Raw genomic sequence first — 26,924 nt, forward strand, 5'->3', positions numbered from 1 at the left:
GTTCCCCCTCCTGTGTCCATGTGTTCTCATTGTTCAATTCCCACCTATGAGTGAGAACATGCGGTATTTGGTTTTTTGTCCTTGCGATAGTTTGTTGAGAATGATGGTTTCCAGCTTCATCCATGTCCCTACAAAGGACATGAACACATCCTTTTTTATGGCTGCATAGTATTCCATGGTGTATATGTGCCACATTTTCTTAATCCAGTCTATCATTGTTGGACATTTGGCTTGGTTCCAAGTCTTTGCTATTGTGAATAGTGCCTCAATAAACATACGTGTGCATGTGTCTTTATAGCAGCATGATTTATAATCCTTTGGGTATATACCCAATAATGGGATTGCTGGGCCAAATGGTATTTCTAGTTCTAGATCCCTGAGGAATTGCCACACTGACTTCCACAATGGTTGAACTAGTTTATAGTCCCACCAACGTTGGTGAGACAGTTCTTAATATGTTGCCCAGGCTGGTCTTGGACTCCTGGCCTCAATCAATCCTCACACCTTGGCCTCCCAAAGTCTTAGGGTTACAGCTGTGAGCCACCACACTTGTTTTAGGAACTGTACAAGGTGTTTGCTAGACTCTTCATCCAGTCTTCGACTCCTACTGTAATGAATCCACTCTGGAGTTTTCAATTTCCTGATGGTAACAGGCTTCCAAAGGCTCTTAGCTACCCTGAGAACATATGGGAAATGCCAACAAGAAATGGAGAGGTCTCCACTGGGATCAGAAATACTCCTGGAGTTATGGAGGCCAAGATGTCCAAGGTCATAGGGCCACATCTGGTGGGATCTTTCCTGCCGGTGGGGACAGTGATGAATCCCAGGGCTGCGCAGGGTATCATATGGTAAGAGGGCTGAGCATGCTAGCTCAGGTTTCTCTTCTTTGTATGGTTTTTATTGTATTGATTTTCATTCCAGTAATTTTTGGGGAACAGGTGGTGTTTGTTTACATGGATAGGTTCTTTAGTGGCAATTTTTGACATGTTGTTGCACCCATCACCCAAGCAGTATAACCGTGCCCAATGTGTAGTCTTTTATCCCTCACCCCCTCCCGCCTTTCCCTCTGAATCCCCAAAGTCCATTGTATCATTCTTATGCCTTTGCATCCTCATAGCTTAACTCCCACTTATAAGTGAGAACATACAATGTTTGGTTTTCCATTCCTGAATTAATTCACTTAGAATAATGGTTGCCAACTCCATCCAGATTGCCGTGAATGACATTATTTCATTCTTTCCTGTGACTGAGTAGTATTCTATGGTGTGTGTGTTTGTGTGTGTGTGTGTGTGTGGATGTGCGTTTCTCGCTCTCTCTCTCTCTATAGATAGATAGATAGATAGATAGATAGATAGATAGATAGATAGATTCATTCTTTCATTCCTTTTTATGGCTGAGTAGTATTCCATTGTGTGTGTGTGTGTATATATGTATATGTGTGTATATGTATATGTGTGTGTATATATATATGTATATACATTCTTTCATTCCTTTTTATGGCTGAGTAGTATTCCATGTTGTGTGTGTGTGTATGTGTATGTATATGTGGGTGTATATATATGTATATACATTCTTTCATTCCATTTTATGGCTGAGTAGTATTCCATGTTTGTGTGTGTGTGTGTGTGTGTATGTGTTTCTCTCTCTCTCTCTCTCACTTTCTATAGATAGATTCATTATTTCATTCTTTTTTACAGCTGAGTAGTATTCCATAGTGTGTGTGTGTGTGTGTATATGTTTGTGTATATGTATATGTGTGTGTATATATATGTATATACATTATTTCATTCCTTTTTATGGCTGAGTAGTATTCTATGGTGTGTGTGTGTATATATATATGTGTGTGCATATATATATATAGGAATTTTTATATCATATATATACACATATGTATATATACACACACACACACACACACATATATATATACACATATATAATCACATTTTCTTTATCCACTCATTGATTGATGGGCATTTGGGCTGCTTCCATATTTTTGCAATTGTGAATTGTGCAGCTATAAACGTGTGTGCAAGTGTCTTTTTCATATAATGACTTCATTTTTTCTGGGTAGATACCCAGTGGTGGGGTTGCAGAATCACATGGTAAATCTACTTTTGGTTCTTTAAGGAATCCTCATATTGTTTTCCATATGGGTTGTACTAGTTTATATTCCCAGCAGCAGTGTAAATGTGTTCCCTTTTCACCACATCCACACCAACATCTATCATGCTTTGATTTTTTAATTTGGCCATTCTTGCAGGAGTAAGGTGGTATCGCATAGTGGTTTTGATATGCATTTCCCTGATAACTAGTGATGTTGAGCATTTCTTCATATGTTTATTGGCTATTTGTATATCTCCTTTTGAGAATTGTCTATTTATGTCCTTAGCCCATGTTTTGATGGAATTTCTTTTTCCTTGTTGATTTGTTTGAGTTCCTGGAGTAGATTTCACATATTAGTCCTTTGTTGGGTGCATAGTTCATGAAAATTTTCTCCCACTCTGTAGGTTGTCTGTTTACTCTGCTGATTATTTCTTTTGCAGCATGAAGCTTTTTAGTTAATTAAGTCCCATCTATTTATCTTTGTTTTTTGTTGCATTTGCTATTGGGTTCTTGGTCATTAACTCTTTATCTAAGCCAATGACTAAAAGAGTTTTTCCAGTTTTATCCTCTAGAATTTTTATGGTTTCAGGTCTTATATTTCAGTTTTTGGTCCTCTTGAGTTGATTTTTGTATAAGATGAGAGATGAGAATCCAGGTTTATTCTTTAATATGTTGCTTGATGATGATCCCAGCACTATTTGCTAAATAGGGTGTCCTTTACCCACTTTATGTTTGTGTTTGCTTTGTCAAAGATCAGTTGACTAGATTTAGCTTTATTTCTCAGTTCTCTATTCTGTTACATTGGTCTATGTGCCTATTTTTATATCAGTACCATGCTGTTTTGATGACTATGGCCTTGTAGTATAGTTGTCAGGTAATGTGATGCCTCCAGATTTGTGTTTTTTGTTTGTTTTTGCTTTGTCTTTCCTTGGCTATGCAGGCTCTTTTTTGGTTCCATATCAACTTCAGGATTTTTTTTTTTATAATTCTGTGAAGAACAATGAGAGTATTTGATGGGAATTGCATCAAATTTGTAGAATTGCTTTTTGCAGTATGATTATTTTTACAATATTGATTCTACCCATCCATGAGCTTGGAATGTGTTTCTATCTATTTGTGTCATCTTTGATATCTTTCAGCAATGTTTTGTAGTTTTCCTTGTAGAGGTCTTTCACCTCCTTGTATAGGTATTTTCCTAAGATACTTAAGTATTTTGTTTTTGAAACTATTGTAAAAGGAATTGAGTTCTTGATTTGATCCTCAGCTTGGTTACTCTTGGTGTATAGTGGTGCTACTTATTTAGATACATTGATTTTTGTATCCTGAAACTTTACTGAATTTATTTATCAGAGCTTTTTTTTTTTTTTAAGATGAGTCTTTAGGGTTTTCTAGCTATACAATCATATCATCAGTGAACAACAACAGAATGACTTCCTCTTTATCAGTTTGGAAACCCTTGATTTCTTTCTCTTGTCTTATTGATCTGGATAGGAGTTCCAGTACTATGTTGAATAGAAGTGGTGAAAGTGGGCATTATATTCTTGTTCCAGTTCTCTGGGGGAATGCTTTCAATTTTTTTTTGTTGTTCAGTAAACTGTTGGTTGTGGGTTTGTCATAAATGGCTTTTATTACCTTAGGGTGTGACCCTTCTATGCTGATTTTGCTGAGAGTTTTAATCATAAAGGAATGCTGGATGTTGTAAAATGCTTTTTCTGTGTCCATTGAGCTGATTATACATTTTTTGTTTTTAATATTGTTTATGTGATGTATTACATTTATTGACTTGCATATGTTAAGCCATCTCTGCATTCCTGGTATGAAACCCACTTTATCATGGTGAATTATCTTTTTAATAAGCTGTTGAATTCACCTAGTATTTTGTTGAGGTGTTTTGCATCTACGTTCATCAAAGATTTTGGTCTGTAGATTTCTTTTTTGGTTATGGCCTTTCTTGATTTTGAATTAGGGTGACACTAGCTTTATACAATGATTTGGGGAGAATTCCCTCTTTCCCTGTCTTTTGGAATAGTTTCAGTAGGATTGGTACCAATTTTTCTTTGAATGTCTGATAGATTCAGCCGTGAATACATCTGGTTCTGAACTTCTTTTTTTGGCAATTTTGTTATTGCCATTTCAATCTCTCTGCTTGTTATTGGTGTGTTAAGAGTTTCTATTTCTTCCTGGTTTAATCTAGGAGGGTGGTAAATTTACAGGAATTTATCTATCTCCTCTAGGTTATCCAGTGTGTGCACATCAAAGTGTTCACAGTAGCTTTGAATGATACATTGTAGTTCTGTGGTATTGGTAGTAATATCTCCCATTTCATTTCGAATTGAGCTTATTTGGATTTTTCTCTTCTTTTCTTAGTTAATCTCACTAATGGTCTATTAATTTGGTTTATCTTTTCCAAGAACCAGCTTTTTGTTTCATTTATTTTTTGTATTGTTTTTGTTTGTTTTAATTTCATTTAGTTCTGCTCTGATCTTTGATATTTCTTTTCTGCTACTGGATTTGGGTTTGGTTTTATCTTGTTTCTATAGTTACTTGAGGTGTGACCTTAGATTATCTATTTGTGCTCTTTTAGACTTTTTGATGTAGACACTTAATGCTATAAACTTTCCTCTTAGCACTGCTTTTGCTGTAAGAGGTTTTGATAGGTTGTGTCACTATTATCATTTAGTTCAAAGAATTTTTAATTTTCATCTTGATTTCATTATTGACCCAACAATCTTTCAAGAGAAGATTATCTAATTTTCAAGTATTTGCATGGTTTCGAGGGTATTTTTTTTTTTTTTGGTGTTGATTTCCAGTTTAATTCCACTGTGGTCTGAGAGAATACTTGATATAATTTCAATTTTCTTAAATGTATTGAGGCTTGTTTTGTGGCCTATCATATCATCTATGCTGGAGAATGTTCCATTTGTTGATGAACAGAATGTATATTCTGCAGTTGTTGGGTAGAATGTTCTGTAAACATCTGTTAAGTCCATTTGTTCTAGGGTGTAGTTGCTGACTTTCTGTCTCAATGACCTGTCTAGTGCTGTCAGAGGAGTATTGAAATTCCCCACTATTACTGTGTTGCTGTCTATCCCATATCTTAGGTCTAGTGGTAATTGTTTTATAAATTTCGGAGCTCCAGGATGGGTGTGGTGGCTGACATCTGTAATCCCAACACTTTGAGGGGCTAAGGCAGAAGGATGACTTGAGCCCAGGAGTTTAAGACCAAACTGGACAACACAGAGAGACCTTGTCTCAATTTAAAAAAAAGAGAAAGAAATCAATGAATAAATAAATGAATTTGGGAGCTCCAGTTTTAGGTGAATATATTTAGGATTGTGATACTCTCCTGTTGAACCAGTCCTTGTATCATTATATAATGTATATAATGTCCCTCTTTGTCTTTTTTAACTGTTGTGGCTTTTTTATCCTGATAAAATTATTGCATAAGTGATGTGTATTATATCACATGTACATATCATATCATTTACATAGTATGGCAAAACATTATACCACTTAAGCAATATTATTTTAATATCACATTTTATTCTTAAAATTGCCAAATAATTTCTATATAAAGAAATTATCTTAAGCAGTGATTTAATAAATATAATGTAGTTGAATTCATTGCTGAGAGGAAAAACAAAGTATTCTCCATCCTTCAACAGCATTTGACATGCAGTTTGTTATTGTACTTTAATCAGATAAAGCTAACAATAAAAATTTGTCTTATCTTTTCAATTTGTAAGTCTTTGTACTTTAATCTTTTTTAAATTGGATTATCTCATAGTGCTGATATAATCTTAGGAAAATGGAGGATATTTAGACACATAAATCTGATTCACATGTGTAATATGATTTTCCAAGACATGTCAAATGAAATTGGTTTAAAGGTTGTTTTCTGTGTAGTTGCTCAAATGTTGCCAGTATGAGATATGAAGGATTCTTCAATTTACATTTCTAATGTAAAAAAAACTGAGGCTCGATAGAAAAAATAATCTGTACATTGGAGTTATTTAAAAGTACTGCCATTTTGAGGGCATATGTTTTATTTAGGAAATATTCTCTCTACCTCCTGCATCCTGACTTTGAGAAAACATGGAATAACCTCTTCTAATATCAATATCAAATTTCACTTATCTATTAAAATTCACAATTTTAAAAATAAAATCTATTTATTTCTTAGCTATTGTAAGCTTGTGTTTGATATAGTGTGATTGGCATTGTTGTTTTTCTGTTAAGGAATTATTATTCTAACCAGTGCAAACAACTAATTGACAAACTTTTTTAGTTATTAAAAATCAGATTTTACAAAATACTAATAAAGTACCTTTTATTTAACTTGATCGGTAAAAAGGTATGCTTCATTTTAATGTACATAATTACCTACAAACTCTTATATACTTTTAAATTGGTGTATGAAGTAACTTAATCTAGGACACTTAATCAAGGAAAAGAAGAAGACATAAAAATGACTTTCTCCTGCTTATCGTCAGACATTTATTTTATGTAACTTACTGATGTTTAAATAATTGTGAAGCATAATTATTTGTAAGATTGGGTTAGGTCGTGCATGCTATGGAAACCAATAACTCAAAAATGTTAGTTATTTGAAGCAAGATGATTTACTTATTATTCATGTCATTTGTGTACCGTGTATATCCTACAACATAGGCTATCCTTTATATCTCCTTAGTCTGTAATCCAGAATAATAGCAAGGTCTCCATGTGGATGTTGCCATGCTAGAAAGAAATAGAATAAAAATTTTAAAAGATGGAATTTGCAAGTCACTAACTGACTCTAAAAATTCCTTCCTTTTCACTTACATTTTATAAAACTGGGTTCTAAAAGTATTTTCCGTGGACCAGTAACATCAGAATTGCCTAGGAACTTGTTGGAAATGTAAAAAGTTTCTGTCCCTAGCTCCAGAATTACTAAATCAGTAACTCTGGGGTACGGGCCTAGTAATCTATGTTTTAACTAGCTCTTTAGTAGATTTTGATGCTCAATAATGTTTAAAAACCACTGTCTATGGCAAACCTTGTCTAAAGCTAACCTCAAAGAAATGGGAATGTACAGTCAATTTAAGTGTTCTGAGGATAATCAGAAATATTTGATGGCTAGTAATAGTGAATACAACATGAGATAAAATATGAGAAAAACATGATTGCTGTTGGGCCCTAGTCATTCCTTTGATAACTATTATCAAACTTAAATTTGTATCACCTACTTAGTCAAAGGGAAACCTTGGGTTACAAAGATACAATATGAATGTGACACTTAAAGCTTACAATATAGATAGAGAGACAGATATGTTACCCAAATTGATGAGTAGTGACATGAAACAGTTTATGTTAATTGCCCATGTGGCCTTGTCAATCAACAAGTATGGGCTGATTGTCTGGAGTTTTATATTGAGACTTCTGAGACAATCATCAGATATATTATAAAAGATTGCTAAAGTCAATCTAATTAGGACTGTTCACATGGGTAGGGAGGAATAAAAGAACACACATGACATGTATTTGTATCTTAGTTTTTTTGTGTGTTGCTATAGTAGTCTGTTTTGTGTGGCTATCACAGACTGGGGTATTTTATAAAGAAAAGAATCTTATTTATCACAGTTCTGGAGGTTGGGAAGCCTAATATCAAGGTGCTGGCATCTTGCCAGAGCCTTCATGTTCAGTTATCCAATAGTTGAAGGTGGAAATACAAAAGACTGAACTCACTTTTATAAAAACCCACTTTTGTAATAACTAACTCACTTCTGACTACATGAACCCATTCATGATGGCAAAGGTGTCATGGACTAATTGCCTCTTAATGATCTCACTTCTTAATACCATCACAATGGCCATTCAACTTAACATGAGTTTTGGTGGAAGCATTCAAACTGTAGCACTTTGCTATCCCTATTTATTCAAAAAGTGAAACAATTTATGCTAAGATATTAGGTTTAGAAAAGAAAAAAGTATAGAGTAGATAATAAAAATGAACAATTGTCCTAACGACACATTATATTGGTCTTATACTGAAAGAGTTTCAGAAATTCTGACAGGTGAGAGAGAAACAATATTACATATAGAGTCATTAGTTCCTATATGGCTCTATCTTCTTTTAGATCATATCATTAATAGGCCAGTTTACTTCTTAGCACAAAAGAATAAAGTCTTATTTTTGACTGAATGCATTTTAATTCTTATCTTTACAGAAGAATATTATCTTTTATCTTTTGTTGATTTATCATTGTATGCACTTAAAGCTTTTTAGTCTTTTTAGTTTTGTGTTAACCTACCTTTCTAAATAAAAACTCATGAAATATTCTTTTATTGAATTGGCACTGTTTCTTTGTAATTAATATTATAAAGCTATTCTGACTTAATTTTATAATTTTCCTTAATAATTTTAAACTTAATTTTATTTAATATTATTTACTGTATCTATTATTATATGCTTGAATTAGTATCATAGATTTATTTAGTCATTTGTATAATTATACAATGCTTATAGTTGTATGATAGCAAATAATAAAAAGAAATTAAATTTGTTTTTTCCTTAACAATAGTTAAATATGGAACTTCACACCAGGACACAAAAGGTGGGTAATTCTATTTTTATAGCCTTCTTAATGACTAGAATTTACCATAATATTATGGTATAGCAAAACCAATTTATATTTGGATTATAATTTTACATTTTATATTGAATTCTCCATCAAAATTTAAAACAAAACATTTAAGCAAATCTCTAACAAATGTGCACTCATGACAAAGTGTAGAAAATGCAAAAGTCAAAATAAAAGTAAATATGAAGAGAAGGGACAATCTCTCTGAGGAAAATTTTAAGATAATTTACAAATAATTTGCTAACACTAATATTAACTCATACATTATTTGCTTAAATCATCTAAGTAATCTAAATTTCTTGATATGACATTGTTAAAAAACAGTTTTAAATTGTCTTTTTTGAGTGGCAACAAAGTTTTAAAAATTGTGTTGAATTTATTTTTCAATTGAAAATTAAAAACTGTTTATATTTATTATGTATATGTTGTTTTGAAATATATATATGGTGTGGAATGATTAAATTTAGCTAATTAACATATGCATCACCTCACATATTTATCTTTGTTTTTGTGGTGAGGACACTTAATATTTACTCTCTTAGCAATTTTCAAGAATACATTATTATTAACTATAGTCACTATGTTTTACATGAGATGTCTCATGTTTATTGCTCATATCCCTTTGTAATTTTGCATTCTTTGCCAAATAACTCACCAACCCATCCCACACACTGGCCTCACAACTTTATCCTTTCTTTCTAGGACTTCAAACTTTTAGATTCCACAAGTATGTGAAAAGATGCAGTATTTGTCTTTCTGTGCATGGTTTACTTCACTTATCATCATGTCCCTCAGGTTCATCCACGTTGTTGCAAATGACAGGATTTCATTCATTTTTAAGACTGAATAGTACTCCATTATGCAAATATACCAGATTTTCATTGTCTATTCGTTCACTGATGAACACGGGTTAATCCTATATGTTGGCTATTGTGAATAAAGCTGCAATGAATATGAGAGTACAGATATATTCTTGACATATTAATTTTATTTTATTTGGCAATATACCCAATAGTAGCTAGATCATATCAGAGTTCTATTTTTAATTTTTGAGGAAACTTCATACTGTTTTTCATAATAGTTATTACTAATTTACACTCAGTATACAAGAGTTCCCTTTTCTCCACATTCTTTCCAAAATTTGTTTCCTTTTCCCTTTTTGATAACAGCTACTCTAACTGGGGTGAAATAATATCTCACTGTGGTTTTAATTTTCATTTATCTGATTAATGATTTTGAGCTTTTTAAAATAAATACTTGTTGGCAATTTGTATGTCATCTTTTGAGAAGTGTCTATTAAAATTTGTTTGCCTATTTTTAATCAGGTTATTTGTTCTTACTATTTTGTTATTGGAGTTTCTTACATATTTTAGATATTATGTGCAAATATGTCCTTCTATGCTGTAAGTTGTCTTTCTACTCTTGTAAAAACAAGACCCAAATATATACTGCATACAAAAGAGTCACTTCATCTGTAGGGACACAAGTAGCCTGAAAGTGAAGAAATGAAAAACAAAATATTCCATCCCAATGAAAACCAAAGAGAAGGAGTAGCTCTACTTATATCATGAAATTGACTTTATGTCAAAAACTGTGAAACAAGAAAAATAAGGTTATTATGCAATGATAAAGGAGTTAATTCATCAAAAATGTGTAACAATTGCCAATCTATATGCATGCAATATCAGAGCAGTAATTATATAATGCAAATAATAGTAGAACTGAAGTTAGGGATGCACTGTAATATTATAATAACAGGGTAAGTCAATACCCTACTATCTGCAATGGAAAGATCATCAAGGCAGAAAATCACTAAGAACATATGAGACTTATACTGCACTTTGGAACAAATGGAGCGAACAGACATACACTGAACATTTTACCCACCATTAGTGGAAAACACATTCTTCTCCAGTACACATGGAACATCCTCTATGATAGATCATGTGTTGAGCCACAAAAGGAGTCTTAATGAGTTTTGGAAGATTAAAATAATATCATGTATTTTTTCTGACCACATAGTATGAAACTAGAAACCAGTAATAGGAGAAATTTTAGAAAATTTATGAATACACGAAAATTAAATAACACCCTCCTGAGCAACCAATGGATCAATGAAGACATTAAAAGTGAAATTCAAGTAAAGCACCCTCAGCAAATTTAACAGAACAGAAATTATAATAAACTGTTTCTCAGACCACAGTGTAATCAAATTACAACTCAGGATTAAGAAACTCACTCAAAACCACTCAATTAAATGGAAACTGAACAACCTGCTCCTGAATGACTACTGAGTACATAATGAAATGAAGGCAGAAATAAAGATGTTCTTTTAAGCCAATGAGAGCAAAGACACAACATACCAGAATTTCTGGGACACATTTAAAGCACTGTGTAGAGGGAAATTTATAGCACTAAGTGCCCACAAGAGAAAGCAGGAAAGATCTAAAATTGACACCCTAACATCACAATTAAAAGAACTAGAGAAGCAAGAGCAAACACATTCAAAAGCTAGCAGAAGGCAAGAAATAACTAAGATCAGAGCAGAACTGAAGGAGATAGAGACATAAAAAACCCTTCAAAAATCAATGAATCCAGGAGCTAGTTTTTTGAAAACATCAACAAAATTGATAGACCGCTAGCAAGACTAATAAAGAAGAAAACAGAGAAGAATCAAATAGACGCAATAAAAATTGATAAAGGGGATATCACCACTGATCCCACAGAAATACAACCTATCGTCAGAGAATACTATAAACACCTCTACGCAAATAAACTAGAAAATCTAGAAGAAATGGATAAATTTCTCGACACATACACCCTCCCAAGACCATAGCAGGAAGAAGTCGAATCCGTGAATAGACCAATAACAGGCTCTGAAATTGAGGCAATAATTAATAGCTTACCAACCAAAAAGAGTCCAGGACCAGATGGATTCACAGCCGAATTCTACCAGAGGTATAAAGAGGAGCTGGTACCATTCATTATGAAACTATTCCAATCAATAGAAAAAGAGGGAATCCTCCCTAACTCATTTTATGAGGCCAGCATCATTCTGATACCAAAGCCTGGCAGGGACACAACAAAAAAAGAGAATTTTAGACCAATATCCCTGATGAACATTGATGCAAAAACCCTCAATAAAATACTGGCAAACTGAATCCAGAAGCACCTCAAAAAGCTTATCCACCATGATCAAGTGGGCTTCAACCCTGGGATGCAGGGCTGGTTCCACATACGCAAGTCAATAAACATAATCTATCATACAAACAGAACCAAAGACAAAACCCACATGATTATCTCAATAGGTACAGAAAAGGCTTTTGACAAAGTTCAACAGCCCTTCATGCTAAAAACTCTCAATAAACTAGCTATTGATGGGACATATGTCAAAATAATAAGAGCTATTTATGACAAATGCACAGCCAATATTATACTGAATGGGCAAAAACTGGAAGCATTCCCTTTGAAAACTGGCACAAGACAGGGATGCCGTCTCTCATCACTCCTATTCAACACAGTGTTGGAAGTTCTGGCCAGGGCAATCAGGCAGGAGAAAGAAACAAAGTGTATTCCATTAGGAAAAGAAGAAGTCAAATTTTCCCTGTTTGCAGATGACCTAATTGTATATTTAGAAAACCCCATCATGTCAGCCCCAAATCTCCTTAGGCTGATAAGCCACTTCAGCAAAGTCTCAGGATACAAAATCAATGTGCAAAAATCACAGGCATTCGTATACACCAATAACAGACAGAGAGCCAAATCATGAGTGAACTCCCATTCACAACTGCTTGAAAGAGAATAAAATACTTAGGAATCCAACTAACAAGGGACGTGAAGGACCTCGTCAAGGAGAACTACAAACCATTGCTCAACAAAATAAAAGAGGACATAAACAAACGGAAGAACATTACATGCTCATGGATAGGAAGCATCAATATTGTGAAAATGGCCATACTGCCCAAGGTAATTTATAGACTTAATGCCATCCCCATCAAGCTACCAATGACTTTCTTCACAGAATTGGAAAAAACTACTTTAAAGTTCATATGGAACCAAAAAAGAGCTGACATTGCCAAGACAATCCTAAGCCAAAGGGACAAATATGGAGGCATCACGCTACCTGACTTCAAACTATACTACAAGGCTACAGTAACCAAAACAACATGGTAGTGGTACCAAAGCAGAAATATAGACCAATGGAACAGATCAGAGCCCTCAGAAATAATACTGCAAATTTACAACCATCTGATCTTTGACAAACCTGACAAAATAAGAAATGGGGAAAGGATTCCCTATTTAATAAATGGTGCTGGGAAAACTGGCTAGCCATACGTAGAAAGCTGAAACTGGATCCCTTTCTTACACCTTATACTAAAATTAATTCAAGATGGCTAAAAGACTTAAATTTTAGACCTAAAACCATAAAAACCCTAGAAGAAAACCGAGGCAATACCATTCAGGACACAGGCATGGGCAAGGACTTCATAACTAAAACACCAAAAGCAATGGCAACAAAAGCCAAAATTGACAAATGGGATCTAATTAAACTAAAGAGCTTCTGCACAGCAAATAAACTACCACCAGAGTGAACAGGCAACTTACAGAATGGGAGAAAATTTTTACAATCTACCCAACTGACAAAGGGCTAATATCCAGAATCTACAATGAACTCAAACAAATTTACAAGAAAAAAATCAAACAACACCATCAAAAAGTGGGCAAAGGATATGAACAGATACTTCTCAAAACAAGACATTTATGCAGCCAACAGACACATGAAAAAATGCTCATCATCACTGGATATCAGAGAAATGCAAATCAAAACTACGATGGGATACCATCTCACACCAGTTAGAATGGCAATTTTTAAAATGTCAGGAAACAACAGGTGCTGGAGAGGATGTGGAGAAATAGGAACACTTTTACACTGTTGGTGGGACTGTAAACTAGTTCAACCATTGTGGAAGACAGTGTGTCGATTCCTCAAGGATCTAGAACCAGAAACACCATTTGACCCAGCCATCCCATTACTGGGTATATACCCAAAGGATTATAAATCATGCTGCTATAAAGACTCATGCAGATGTATGTTTATTGTGGCACCACTATTCACAATAGCAAAGACTTGGAACCAACCCAAATGTCCATCAATGATATACTGGATTAAGAAAATGTGGCACATATACACCATGGAATACTATGCAGCCATAAAAAAGGATGAGTTCATGTCCTTTGCAGGGACATGGATGAAGCTGGAAACCATTATTCTGAGCAAACTATTGCAAGGACAGAAAACCAAACACTGCACGCTCTCACTCATAAGTGGGAGCTGAACAATGAGAACACTTGGACACAGTGTGGGGAACATCACACACTGGGACCTGTCCTGGGGTCGGGGATGGGGAAGGGATAGCATTAGGAGATATACCTAATGTAAATGACAACTTAATGGGTGCAGCACACCACCGTGGCACATGTATACCTATGTAACAAACCTGCACGTTTTGCACATGTACCCTAGAACTTAAAAGTATAACAACAATAACAACAACAAAAGTGAAATTCGCCCGGGTGCGGTGGCTCATGCCTGTAATCCCAACACTTTGGGAGGTTGAGGCTGCCAGATCAGTTCAAGAGCAGCCTGACCAACATGGAGAAACTCCATTTCTACTAAAAATACAAAATTAGCCAGGCGTGGTGGCCCATACCTGTAATCCCAGCTACTCGGGAGGCTGAGGCCAGAGAATCGCTTGAACCCGGGAGGCAGAGGTTGTGGTGAGCCGAGATCACGCCATTGCACTCCAGCGTGGGCAACAAGAGTAAAACTCCGTCTCAAAATAACTAACTAAATAAATAGAAGTGAAATTCAAAAATACCTGGAGAAAAATGAAAATGTAATGTAAACGTAATGTAGCAAAACTTATGGGATCCAGTCAAAGCAACTTTCAAATAGGGAAGTTTGTAAGTTAATAGGCTCCAAATAAAAAAATAAGAGAGATCCTATTTAAACACCCTAATTATGTACTTCGAAGAACCAGAAAAACAAACTGAGCCCTAAGCCACCAAAAGTGAAAAATAATAAAGATTAAAGTAGGAATAAGTAAAATAGAGACAAAGAAAGAATAGAAAAGATAAATGTAACTAAGTTTTTTTTTAAGATCAAATTGATAAATCTTCATAGAGAAATACTAAAAGAAAAAACAAGAAGACTCAAATAAATAAAATCAGAAATGAAAGAGGAGGCCTTGCAATAGATATCATAGAAGTACAAAGGATCATAAGAAGACTATGAATGAACAACATATACCAATAAACTGGATAACTTAGAAGAAATGGAGACATTCTTAGACACATAAAACCTACCAAGACCAAATCTTGAGGAAACAGAAAACCTGAACAGAATGATAACTAGCAAGAAATTAAAGTAGTAATGAAAATTCTTCTACCAAAGAAAAGCCCAGGACCTGATGGCTTTACTGTTGAGTTCTGCTACAGATTTTAAAAAGAACTTACACCAATCTTTCTTAAACTTTTCAATAACATTAACAAGAGAATACATCGAAATTCAATTTACAAAGCAAGCATTACACTAATAGAGCCAGACAACAATAATACAAAAAAGGAAATTACAGAAAACTATTGCTGGTAAACATAGATGAAAAAGTCTTCAACAAAATATTAGCAAACCAAATTCAATATCACAGTAAAATAATCATTTACCACGATCAATTGAGATTTATTCCAGGGATGTCAAGATGGTTCAACATGTGCCAATAAATCTGATATATCACATTAACACAGTGAAGGACAAAACAACATGATTATTTCAATAGATGTAGAAAAATCATTTGACAAAATTCAGCATTACTTCATAATAAAAACTCTCAACAACTTAGGTATAGAAGGAATGTATTTCAACACAATAAAGGCCTGATATGACAAACCCACAGCTAACATCATACTGCTAATTCATACTGTATGGATGGGATGCTGAGAACTAAGACAAGGGTGTTCATTCTTGTCACCTCTATTTTATGTAGTTCTGGAAGTCCTAGTCAGAGAAATTAAGTAAGAGAAAAAATAAAATACATCCCAATTGGAAAACAAGAAGATAAATATACCCTGTGTGCAAAAGACATAATTTTACATATAGAAAACCCCAAAGACTCTACCAAAAAACTATTAGAACTAATAAATTCAGTAAAGTTGCAGGATACAAACTCAACACATAAACATCAGTAATTTTTCAATACACTAACAATGAACTATCTGAGAAATAAATCAAGAGAACAATTCTATTTACAATAGTATCAAAAACAAAATACTAGTAAAATGCATAGGAATAAATTTAACCAAAGAGGTTAAAGACCTGTACACTGAAAACTATAAAACATCAATTGAAGATTGGAAGAAGACACAATGATGAAAATATGGCCCACATTCATGGATTATAAAATGAGTATTATTAAAATGACTATACTACTCAAATCTACAGATTCAATGCAATACCTATGAATACACCAATAAAATACTACTGATATAGTAAAAGCCATCCTAAATGTATATGAAACCATGATAGACTGAATAACCAAAGCAATCTTGAGAGAAAGAACATAACTGGAGATGTCACACTAACTTCAAAATATATCATAAAGCTATATTAATCAAAACAGCATGATACTGGCATCACAATAGATATGTAGACCAATGGAATAGAATAGAGAGCCCAGAAACAATTCCATGAATTTACAGTTAATTGACAAAGTTTCCAAGAATGCACGATAGGGAAAGGACGTTACCTTTCAGAAACCATGTTGCTACAACTGTGTAGCCACATACAAAAAAATTAAATTAGATTATCATCTCACACTATATACACAAATCAAAATTGATTAAATAATAAATGTAAGACATGAAACTGTAAAACTAATAGAAAATTTTAAAAATTAAAAAAAAAACAGGAAAAACTCTCCACGATACTGGCCTGGACAATGATTTTTTTGGATATGGCCCTTAAAGCACAGGCAACAGAGCAAAAATAGACAAATGGATTATATCCACCTAAAAAGGTTCTGCCCAGTCAAGGAAACAATCAACTAAATTGCCTACTAGTGTTATTTTCCTTCTCCATTTTAGTTTGAGATCCTTGAAGTTTGAATGAACAAAACTGTTCATTCCATTTTGGAGAGTAGATATAGAATTTGAATTTATATCTTTTAACATATAGGTTTTATCTGACTTGTTACATGTTAGAGAATATGTCAATGGGCTCACTGAATACCTTGATAGATTTAGATTTCTGAAGTAACTCAGTGTGTGTGAGAGAAAGAGAAAGAGAGAGGGAAATACAGAGAGACAGAGCCAGAGATAGAGAGAGACAGGGAGGGAAGGAGGGAGGAAGAGAACGATTTTATTTTTTCTCAGTATTTCTTAGTGTTTATGTTTCAATGATTTGTACCTAAATTCTGACATACATATCACCCAAATTATACAGTATCTGGACCCACTAACACATGTTTTGTTTGAGTTTTTATCCAGGTCACTGGAATCCACAAAAATCTGCTTTATTTTTGTTTGTTAGTATCTGCCTACTATTTACAAATGGACTGAATAGGTACATAAATAGTTAAGTATTCAATTTCAGTCTAACTTTTCAGCAAAATATTTCAAGTTGGTTCTGCTTTATAAAATGACACTTACAAGTTTTAGCTATTTACTATTTGAAGTTAACTATTAATTTTGGTACATTTGGTTGCCAAGTTCAGAGAATATCCAATCAGAGCGACTTAACTCAAAAGCCATTCTGCCTTTATGTGTGCTGCTCTGAAATTTTTCCAACTACACCTTTGCTTAAGAATAAATTATTTCAAAAGAAGGAAAATATCATTGATAAAATTTACTCTTAGGGATCTTAGTATTTTTTTTCTTTCTAAATATCACCTCTCAAAATGTTAGACTTGTTAAATATTGGTGATTTTTATTCATTCAATAATAATAATATTGATGAAGATACCCAATTAAGCACATTCTACTATATAAACTATTTGGTATTTATAATAAAATTAAAATATGATTCCCAAATACAAGGAGAGTGAGTAGTCAGTAATACTTTTAAGCCATATTCATGCAGAATCTTAATGTGTTTTATTTCTTCAGCGATAATCTTTATATATAGCACATTTGTAAGGATTTTTCTTATATTTCATATGTGACTTGTACAGAACCTTGTTACATTCTTTTATTAATATAGTTACTTTGATCCTAGTTTTCTCAAAATTGCAATCAAAATAGTTAATTTATTTAATATCAAACTTATATTAAATCATCTTTATATCTCCCAACAGTACTTGAATACATTGCATTTATTTATTTTATATATTGCTGTAGATTTATTTTCTTTTAAAGTATGTTTACTTAGCATCAAGGGGCCATGTTCTAGAGTTGGGGTTTTATTCCAGCTTCCACAAATGTATAAAGTGGCTTTAATACATTTTCTGAGGTTCAGATTTTTCTGCTCTAAAGTGGTGCTAACAGCATAAACTGCTCAGAAATTTGTGAATTTTCTTTGAGTCAACAAATCTGTTTCTATCTGATCTTCTCAAATAATTATTAGTTCTCCACAGTATTATAGCTGCTCTTAGCTATATATTTTTCTTCTTTTACTTTCTTTGGGTTTACTTTTTTTCGTATTTTATTTAAACACTTACCATATTTAAATAAATACTATCTTTTTTATATTTTATTTACTGAATACTATGTAGCAATATTTATCCCTAAATAACACTACTGCTTTAGATGCATGCCACACATGTTGATATTTATTATTTACATTATTGTTAAGCTCCACGTTTTTCTATGTCTGTTAAGAAATGTTTTACTGCATACATTATTATTATTATTATTATTTTTAATAATACTTTAAGTTTTAGGGTACAAGTGCATAACGTGCAGGTTAGTTACATATGTATACATGTGCCATGCTGGTGTGCTGCACCCAGTAACTCGTCATTTAACATTAGGTATATCTCCTAATGCTGTCCCTCCCCCCTCCCCCAACCCCACAACAGTCCCCGGTGTGTGATGTTCCCCTTCCTGTGTCCACGTGTTCTCACTGTTCAATTCCCACCTATGAGTGAGAACATGCGGTGTAACTATTTAACTATGTGATTTAAAGTCTCCAAGAAAAAAATTTGTCGTTGTTATTATTTTAAAACTGTTTTGAACTGTTTTCAGAGAAATATTGGGTATGATACAATCTACGAGAATTCTTGGTAGCTGTCTTTGGAATATTAGTCATTCAAAAAGTAATTTTTCATGTCCACTTAAAACCAATAAAGTAATGTTTGTGTCCAGAAAAGTCTATGTACATTTGATTAAGTTTATTGAATGTGCAAGTCAAATCTTCTATATCCAACAGTACCAGACATCAAAACTGAGTATAAAGCTATAGGAATAAATTTAGTGCAAGGATGTACAAACTGATCATTAGAACTAAAGACACTATAAAAATTGACCCAAGGTTTCCTGAATTATAAAAGTGGTAGCACTACCATTAAGAAGAGGGAATGGATGACGTTTTCAATAAATGAAATGGGGTCAACTGAATAAAAATGTAGAGAGACTATATACACACACACACTCAGACACATTGACCTCAAGTTCACAACATACAAAGAAATAAATTCCATGTGGACTGTGACTTTAAATGTGGAAGGCAAAAGAATAAACAGTGAGATTTGAGAAGACAAGTGTATCATTTTATATTTCAGTTATATAAGACAAATTATATATATCAATTATATAAGACAAAAAATATATATATCATGGTGATCTTGGTGTAGTCACAGATTTCTCAAATAGGAAACAGAAAAACAGTTAAATAATGGGGAAAATAAAGTTAACTATATTTAATTAACCACTTCCATTCATCAAAAGACACTGTTAATTACCTAATTCTGAAAAGAGGGTCTTCTATGAAAAATGTCTTTAAACCATAAAAGTTAAGAAAATTAGACAAATTAGCAGAAAAAAATCAAAACCCTTGAATGGACACTTCACAGAATGGGCCATTCAAATTTGCACTGACATATGATATATATATATATATATATATACACCCATGTATGTGTGATATATATGCTTATGACATATATATGTGTGACATATATGTGTGATATATATGCTTATGACAATGAAAAAAAAAACTGCAACCTGAAACCACTACAAACTTATGACAATTACTAAACTAAAAGATGCTAGAAAATACTGGTGTTAATAAGGAGATGGATCAATCAGAGCTCACAATTCTTTGTTAAGGAAGAAATGTCCAGCACAACTCAGATTCTGTCTCCATTCCTCCTAGAACAGGATGTTCTGCAAGACTTGTACTCAGACAGCTCAGTTGCATGCAGGTTATATAAACTCAGGATGGAGCACTTTTAGGGTCCATCAGCTGTAGTGCAATGTGGGGTACATGCAGACAAGACTCCAGTTATTTTAGGCAGCTGTTCTGAGCATTGGAGGACCACCTCACCATGAATCCTTAGCTTTTGTTTATCATTCCTGCCTATGTGTAATAAATCTGCTTTTCTTCATTTGTTGTGTAAATGTTCTCTCTCTCTGGATTCATACAATTAGCAAAGAATCTTTCATTGCCCTGGCAATCAGTACTCAGTGGCCATGATGAATAAGTAGGTCAGCTTCATTGCTTGATGGTGTCCAATATGTCCCTCAGGCTCTGTTCACTTTCCTTCAATCTCTTTTCTTTTTGTTCCTCAGACTCAATAATTTCACCTCTCTTATCTTCAAGTTTATTGATTCATTTCACTACCTTCATTGAATTCATTTTTCTGCATTCAACTTTTGACTGGAAGTTTCATGAATTTAGTATGTACAGCCTGGATCCCATTACTCTTTTTCTTTCAGGTCAAAACATTTCCAACTTCCTAATGGTTCTTTTCCACCCTAAAGAAAAATATGCAAGTTCAAGTCACAATTCTAACTCAAATCTGACCTTGAATCCCTGCGGCAAATTCTTTTTGTAATATTCAGCTTCAGAATTTCTTTGTGGATTCTTTTTTGGTTTTCTATGTCTGTATTCATATTTCCATTTTGTTCTTACATTCTTTTTTTTTTTTTGAGATGGAGTCTCACTCTGTCGCCCAGGCTGGAGTGCAGTGGCGCGATCTCAGCTCACTGCAAGCTCCACCTCCCAGGTTCACGCCATTCTCCTGCCTCAGCCTCCTAAGTAGCTGGGACTACAGGTGCCCGCCACCACACCTGGCTAATTTTTTGTATTTTTAGTAGAGATGGGGTTTCACCGTGTTGGCCAGGATGGTCTCATCTCCTGATCCCGTGATCCACCCGCCTTGGCCTCCCAAAGTGCTGGGATTACAGGCGTGAGCCACAATGCCTGACCTACATTACTTTATTGTCATTGTTCACAATTGTAGTTCTTTGAGCATCTTTAATACAGTTGTTTTAAAGCCTTTGTCTAGTAGATCCACCATCAAGTCTTTTTCAGTGACAGTGTCTATTGGTTTACTTACACATAGAAACAATTTTTCTGTTTCTTTATATGCCTTGTGATTTTTTTTATTGAAAACTGAACATTTGACTTTTACAGTGTGGTAACTCTGTCTATGAGATTCTCCACCTCACCCTGAGTTTGCTGTTTGTATTATTGTTTTGTGGTTTTTTTTTTTTTTTTTAAGGGTCTCTTTTCCAAAGATCCACCTGAGGTGTAAAGTTTGGGTCCTTTCATTTCTTTTCTGAGCCTGTGCCTTTCTCCAGGCATATCTGGTCCTTTTTAATTTTCTCCAGGTATGCAGTTACTTTTGAAAGTCCTAGACTTTAACATTTAGCTCCCAAAGGGAGAAACGAAGAAAAATAAAAGAGAGAAGCATCTCAATTCATTAAACCCCCTGGAAGTTACTTTAACTACAAGGGGAGGAATAGGTTTGCAACAATGGATGGAAATACGACAGTGCTTCTCAACTCTTGGTTTATACCTCTGTGATCAGAAGCAGAAATCAGAACAGAGATCCCCAATATGTGAAGGAAGAGGGGTTTTTTTCATTTGTGTGCTTTTTCCTTTTGTCTGTCCTGGCTTCCTTGAGCTTTATGCAGACTTATTTAGGAAAATAGGGACAGCTGTTAGCCATGGGGCTTGGGTGGAGGATGGCTAGCTGCTACTGTACTAAGAGATTAAATTGACCAAAATTGCTTGCAATGCACCATCCAATCATTCTCCTGGAACTTGCAAGCCTTCAATAGTTTCCAGAGTCTCAAAATAGCTACATTAGACAGATTCTGTCAGTTCAATTGTTGTCTAGGTAGTAAGATTGATCCTTTGTGCTGCCTACCATACTATTTTTCCAGAATCTTTCTAGAAATGTAAAAATGTTACATTTTTAACATAAACATAATCTTTCAAAATTGCATCTTCTTATATATTGTATGTAATTACAATCAATTTAATTTTGTATATATATTTTTTATTCAGTACTCTTTCTAAATTTCATTATTATGTTAATCACTTCAATCCTTTAAACAGTATTTAAAAATTTTATTCATTATGTTATTGTATTTCAACTTCTTGAAGAGCCAGATTCCCTTTCTAATGTGTCACACCTCCCTAGTGTTACTTTTTTTCAAAATTTCTTTTTCTGAGCTTTTATTTGTATGTGTTATTTTGTTAAACATTATTTTACCAATTTTTTTATTTTGTATCAACATTATATAAAATCAAAATTGTAGAACTCCACTACTGTCATTATTTTAAATTTGGTTTGATTTTTTGAGATTCTCAGAACTGGAGCAATTTTTATGTGACTTAGAGATTCTTCAGTGTGACTTGGAAATTCTTACTACACATGGCTAGTATAAATAAATGTAAAATATATAAACCTTGCGATTTTGTTATCATTCTGTACATTTAAGCATACAAATTTACAAAAAAAAATTGTATCTATAACATTTTTCATGGTAAAAGTATCTTTCAAATATTTACGTAGTCCTCTATTAAAATGTTAACCATTATAATAATCAATTTATGAATCCATTATATAATTTTTACTGCAAGAATAACTTGATTTAGCACTTATTTTATTATTCCCTTAGGCTGCTGTAATAAAGTTCCATGAACTAGATGGCTTAAAATAACAAAAAAAATATTATTTCATAGTTCAGAGACCTGGCTATTTAAAATCAAGATGCTGGCAGGGTTGGATCCTTCTGAGACCTGTGAGGGAGAATGTGTTCTGTGCCTCTTTTCTAGCTTTTGACGGCTGCTGGCAGTTTGGCATTACTTAACTTTCAGATGCATCATTTCAATATCTACCTTGATCTTCACATGATATTCTCTTTTTTTGTTGTTTATATGATATTATTATTATGAGGACACTAGTAGGAGCTGACTCTATATGACCTCATCTTAACTAATTATATTTGCAATGAGCCTATTTCCAAATAAGATAATATTCTAATGTACAAGGGATTAAGACTTCAACATATCTTTTATAGGAGTGGGAGCACAATTCTGCTCATAACTTTGGTAAACATTGTACTTAATAGATAATCCTTATAGTTTATCCACTTTTAATTTATGACAACTATAACAATTTTATTTTGTTCATTGAACTTTTGACTTAAAGTTTCATGTATTTAGCATGTACAGCCTGGATCTCATTACCCTTTTTGTTTCAAGTCAAAACATTTCCAATTTCCTAATAGTTCTTTTTCTCCCCTAAGGAAAACTATGCAAATTCAAGTCAGAATTCTAAAAGATTATTCTAACCATCACCATGTCCAATATATTTACATTGCTATAAATTCCTTATATTAGATATGTTTAACTCTAGTCTCTTCCATTTAGGTCTTCTACAAGAATCTAAATCTAAGTGATAATATCAATCTTTTACAGAAATTAAATGTGCTTGGGGTATCCAGATTGCCTCTTCCCCTCCTCATGATTTCAACACATTCGTCACAAAGCAACTACAATTTTAAAACATAAAAAATAATAAAGTCATTTACTCAGGTGAAGCATGTCACTGGCTACCACTGTGGCCCTCAAAGTATTGTATTATCTGGCTTTTTCCAACCTCGCTATTCTTATATCATGCTAATCACTGTCTTCAGTTTAATCTATAATCACATGCTTTTTAAAATTTCTAATGGTTGTTTTCTTCCTGTCCATTTTCACTTGCTGTTTATTATTCCAAAAATCTTATACCCTACCCTAACCTCTACTTCCTCACATACTGAATTGAATAGCACGCTTCAGTTTAATGGGTTTTTCCCTCTGGAAATCTTTCTTGATCTTGGAGTCCAGCTAACATTTTATAGCATGTATCTTTCTCTCTAAAATTGACACAACTTTAATATATGATTTATTCTAGTAAAAAGAGTTCATTATTTCTCTCTTTAACATTTGAACTACAGTAAACTAAAAGCTTTTAGAAATTTAGGTAGAAGTAACATTAGATTTGAATCCTTCTGTAATCTCAGACAAGCAGCTGCTTGGATATACATTTAGCATTCAATATCAACTTGCTGAATGAATGACCATCTATATGCTGATAACCTCCAAATCTATACCCAACTCCAGGCACAATGTTTCCACATAAATGTCCCATGAACTTCTTAAACTACGTATCTGTAATTTTCACTCGTAATTGCTAAACAAGAAATGTCTGTTGTTGTCTTACTCCTTATTCATCCTCACATACCACACCAAAACCTACAAAAATCCCAATTTTTTTTTCTGAGATATAGTCTAAATTCATCCACTCCTCTGCATTCCTGTTACGCCACTTTACAACACTCTTACTCATTAAATACATACTGCAAAAGCTTCCTAGTTGGACTTTCAGGAACAGTGTTGACACCATATAAACTATTCTTTTACAGCAAATTGATGTTTGGTTTTTAGGCACATCTTGTCTCTCACACACCTGCTTTATATTCCTTTTTTTTAATACTTTAAGTTTTAGGGTACATGTGCACAACGTGCAGGTTTGTTACATATGTATACATGTGCCATGTTGGTGTGCTGCACCCATTAACTCGTCATTTAACATTAGGTATATTTCCTAATGCTATCCCTCCCCCCTCCCCCCACCCCACAACAGTCCCCGGTGTGTGATGTTCCCCTTCCTGTGTCCATGTGTTCTCATTGTTCAATTCCCACCTATGAGTGAGAACATGCGGTGTATGGTTTTTTGTCCATGCGATAGTTTGCTGAGAATGATGGTTTCTAGCTTCATCCATGTCCCTACAAAGGACATGAACTCATCATTTTTTATGGCTGCACAGTATCCCATGGTGTATATAATAACTTCCAATTTTCCTTAAATTCCAAGAGGTTTAAAGGCCCTATGCTATTAAGAAGGTGTTAGTTGGCAGGGCGCTGTGGCTCATGCCTGTAATCTCAGCACTTCGGTAGGCCAAGGAGGGGTGGATCGCCTGAGGTCAAGAGTTCGAGACCAGTCTGGCCAACATAGTGACCCCATCTCTACTAAAAATACAAAACAAAATTAGCTGGGCATGGTGGCAGTCACCTGTAATCCCATCTACTCAGGAGGCTGAGGCAGGATAATCATTTGAACCCAGGAGGTGGAGGTGGAGTTTGCAGTGAGCTGAGATCGCACCATTGCACACCAGCCTGGGCAACAAGAGTGAAACTCTGTTTAAAAAAAAAAAAAAAAAAGATGTTACTCATAATTTAAAAAGTTGATTTTTTATGTGTGTAGTAGTATAACATTGTTTAATTTGCAATTGAACATCTTTTTATATGCTTATTTGCCATCTCTATATTTTCTTTGATGAGTTAAGATCTTTTGTCCATTTTTAAATTTTGAAACAGAGTCCTTAATTAGGTACCTCTTTTGTAAATATTTTCTTCCTATCTATGGCTTGTCTTTTCATTTTCTTAACAAGTCCTTTCTCAGAGCAGAATGATCTTATTTTAATAAAGTCTAGCTTTTCAATTATTTATTCCACGGAATGTGCTTTTGGTGTCATATTTAAAAAATCATTGTCAAGCTTAAGGTCATCTAGATTTTATCCTATGTTACCTCCTAAGAGTTTAATAGTTTGACTTTTAGATATAGGTCTATGATCCATTTTGAGTTAATTTTTTAAGATTTGTACCTAGAATCATTTTTGTGTGTGTGTAAGAATGCTCACTTATTCCAGCACCATTTGTTGAAAGCAGTTTCTTTTCCCCATTGTATTGCCTTTATTCCTTTGTCAAAGATGAGTTGACTACAGTACTTTTGGTCTAATTCTGGATTCTCTATTCTGTTGTATTGATATATTTGTCTATTCTTTTCCCTGATATTATACTGTCTTGATTACTGTGGCTTTACAGAAGAATTACAGTTGGGTAATATCTCTCCTCTTCAATGATCTTTTAATTCATTTCCTTTTTTTTTTTCATTCCTGCCTCCCCATGCCAATTTCATTCCTTAGAGAACTCTGAGAGTAATTCTTTTAAAAATAAGTGAAACAATATAACTTGCCTACAGAAAAACTTTCAATAAGTTCCTTTTCTCTTAGAATAAAATATATGATTAACACAATCATCCGAAGGCCCTGCATTATCTGACCTCTGCCTTCATCTTTAGCTTTGTAGTCACCCACATCACTCTTTCCTCACAGTCATTTTGACTTTTTAAAATTTCTATTATATAACAAAATATTTCCCCTCAATGGGTCTTTATACTTGCTTTTGGGGGTTTCTGATGTTGTTTCCTTCTCTATTAGCCTGGCGGTTTTCTACTCATGTATAATTCAAGTCAAGTCTCCTTCAAAAAGAAGATCTTCTGAACACATAATTTTGTTCCTTCTTTTTACATAGTGTGAATACAGTTATGCATAATATAATGATGAAGATGCATTCTGAGAATTGTGTTGTTAGTCAATTCCATCATTGTACAAACAGCATAGATGTACTTACACAGCTAGATATTATAGCCTACTACACACCCAGACTATATGATATATCCTATTGCACCAAGGCTACAAACCTGGGAAGGATGTTATTATACTAAATCCTTTAGGCAATTGTAACACAATGGTATTTGTGTGTTTAATCACATTTAAACATAGAAAAGGTACAGTAAAAATAAAATATATAAAATGAAAAATGGTATACCTGTATGGAGCACTTACCATGAAGTGGTAAGT

General features: G+C 33.7%; 1 long non-coding RNA gene across 7 annotated transcripts in view; it reads left to right on the forward strand.

Moving 5' to 3' along the window:
* Positions 1-26,924, forward strand: part of LOC105377188 (uncharacterized) — a 98,853-nt gene that overhangs the window by 45,832 nt on the left and 26,097 nt on the right. For 4 of the 7 annotated variants that reach the window (XR_007096264.1, XR_007096266.1, XR_001740800.2 and 1 more), the window contains one exon: positions 8,670-8,702. The exons of 1 other annotated variant lie outside the window; for it this stretch is intronic. This is a non-coding gene — a long non-coding RNA (uncharacterized LOC105377188). Of the gene's footprint in view, positions 1-8,669; positions 8,703-9,431; positions 10,048-26,924 lie in introns of those variants that run through there. 2 more of the 7 variants (XR_007096263.1, XR_001740795.2) reach the window with 2 other exon arrangements.

The sequence above is a fragment of the Homo sapiens genome, chromosome 3 (assembly GCF_000001405.40).
Source record: "Homo sapiens chromosome 3, GRCh38.p14 Primary Assembly".
Taxonomy (NCBI): domain Eukaryota; kingdom Metazoa; phylum Chordata; class Mammalia; order Primates; family Hominidae; genus Homo; species Homo sapiens.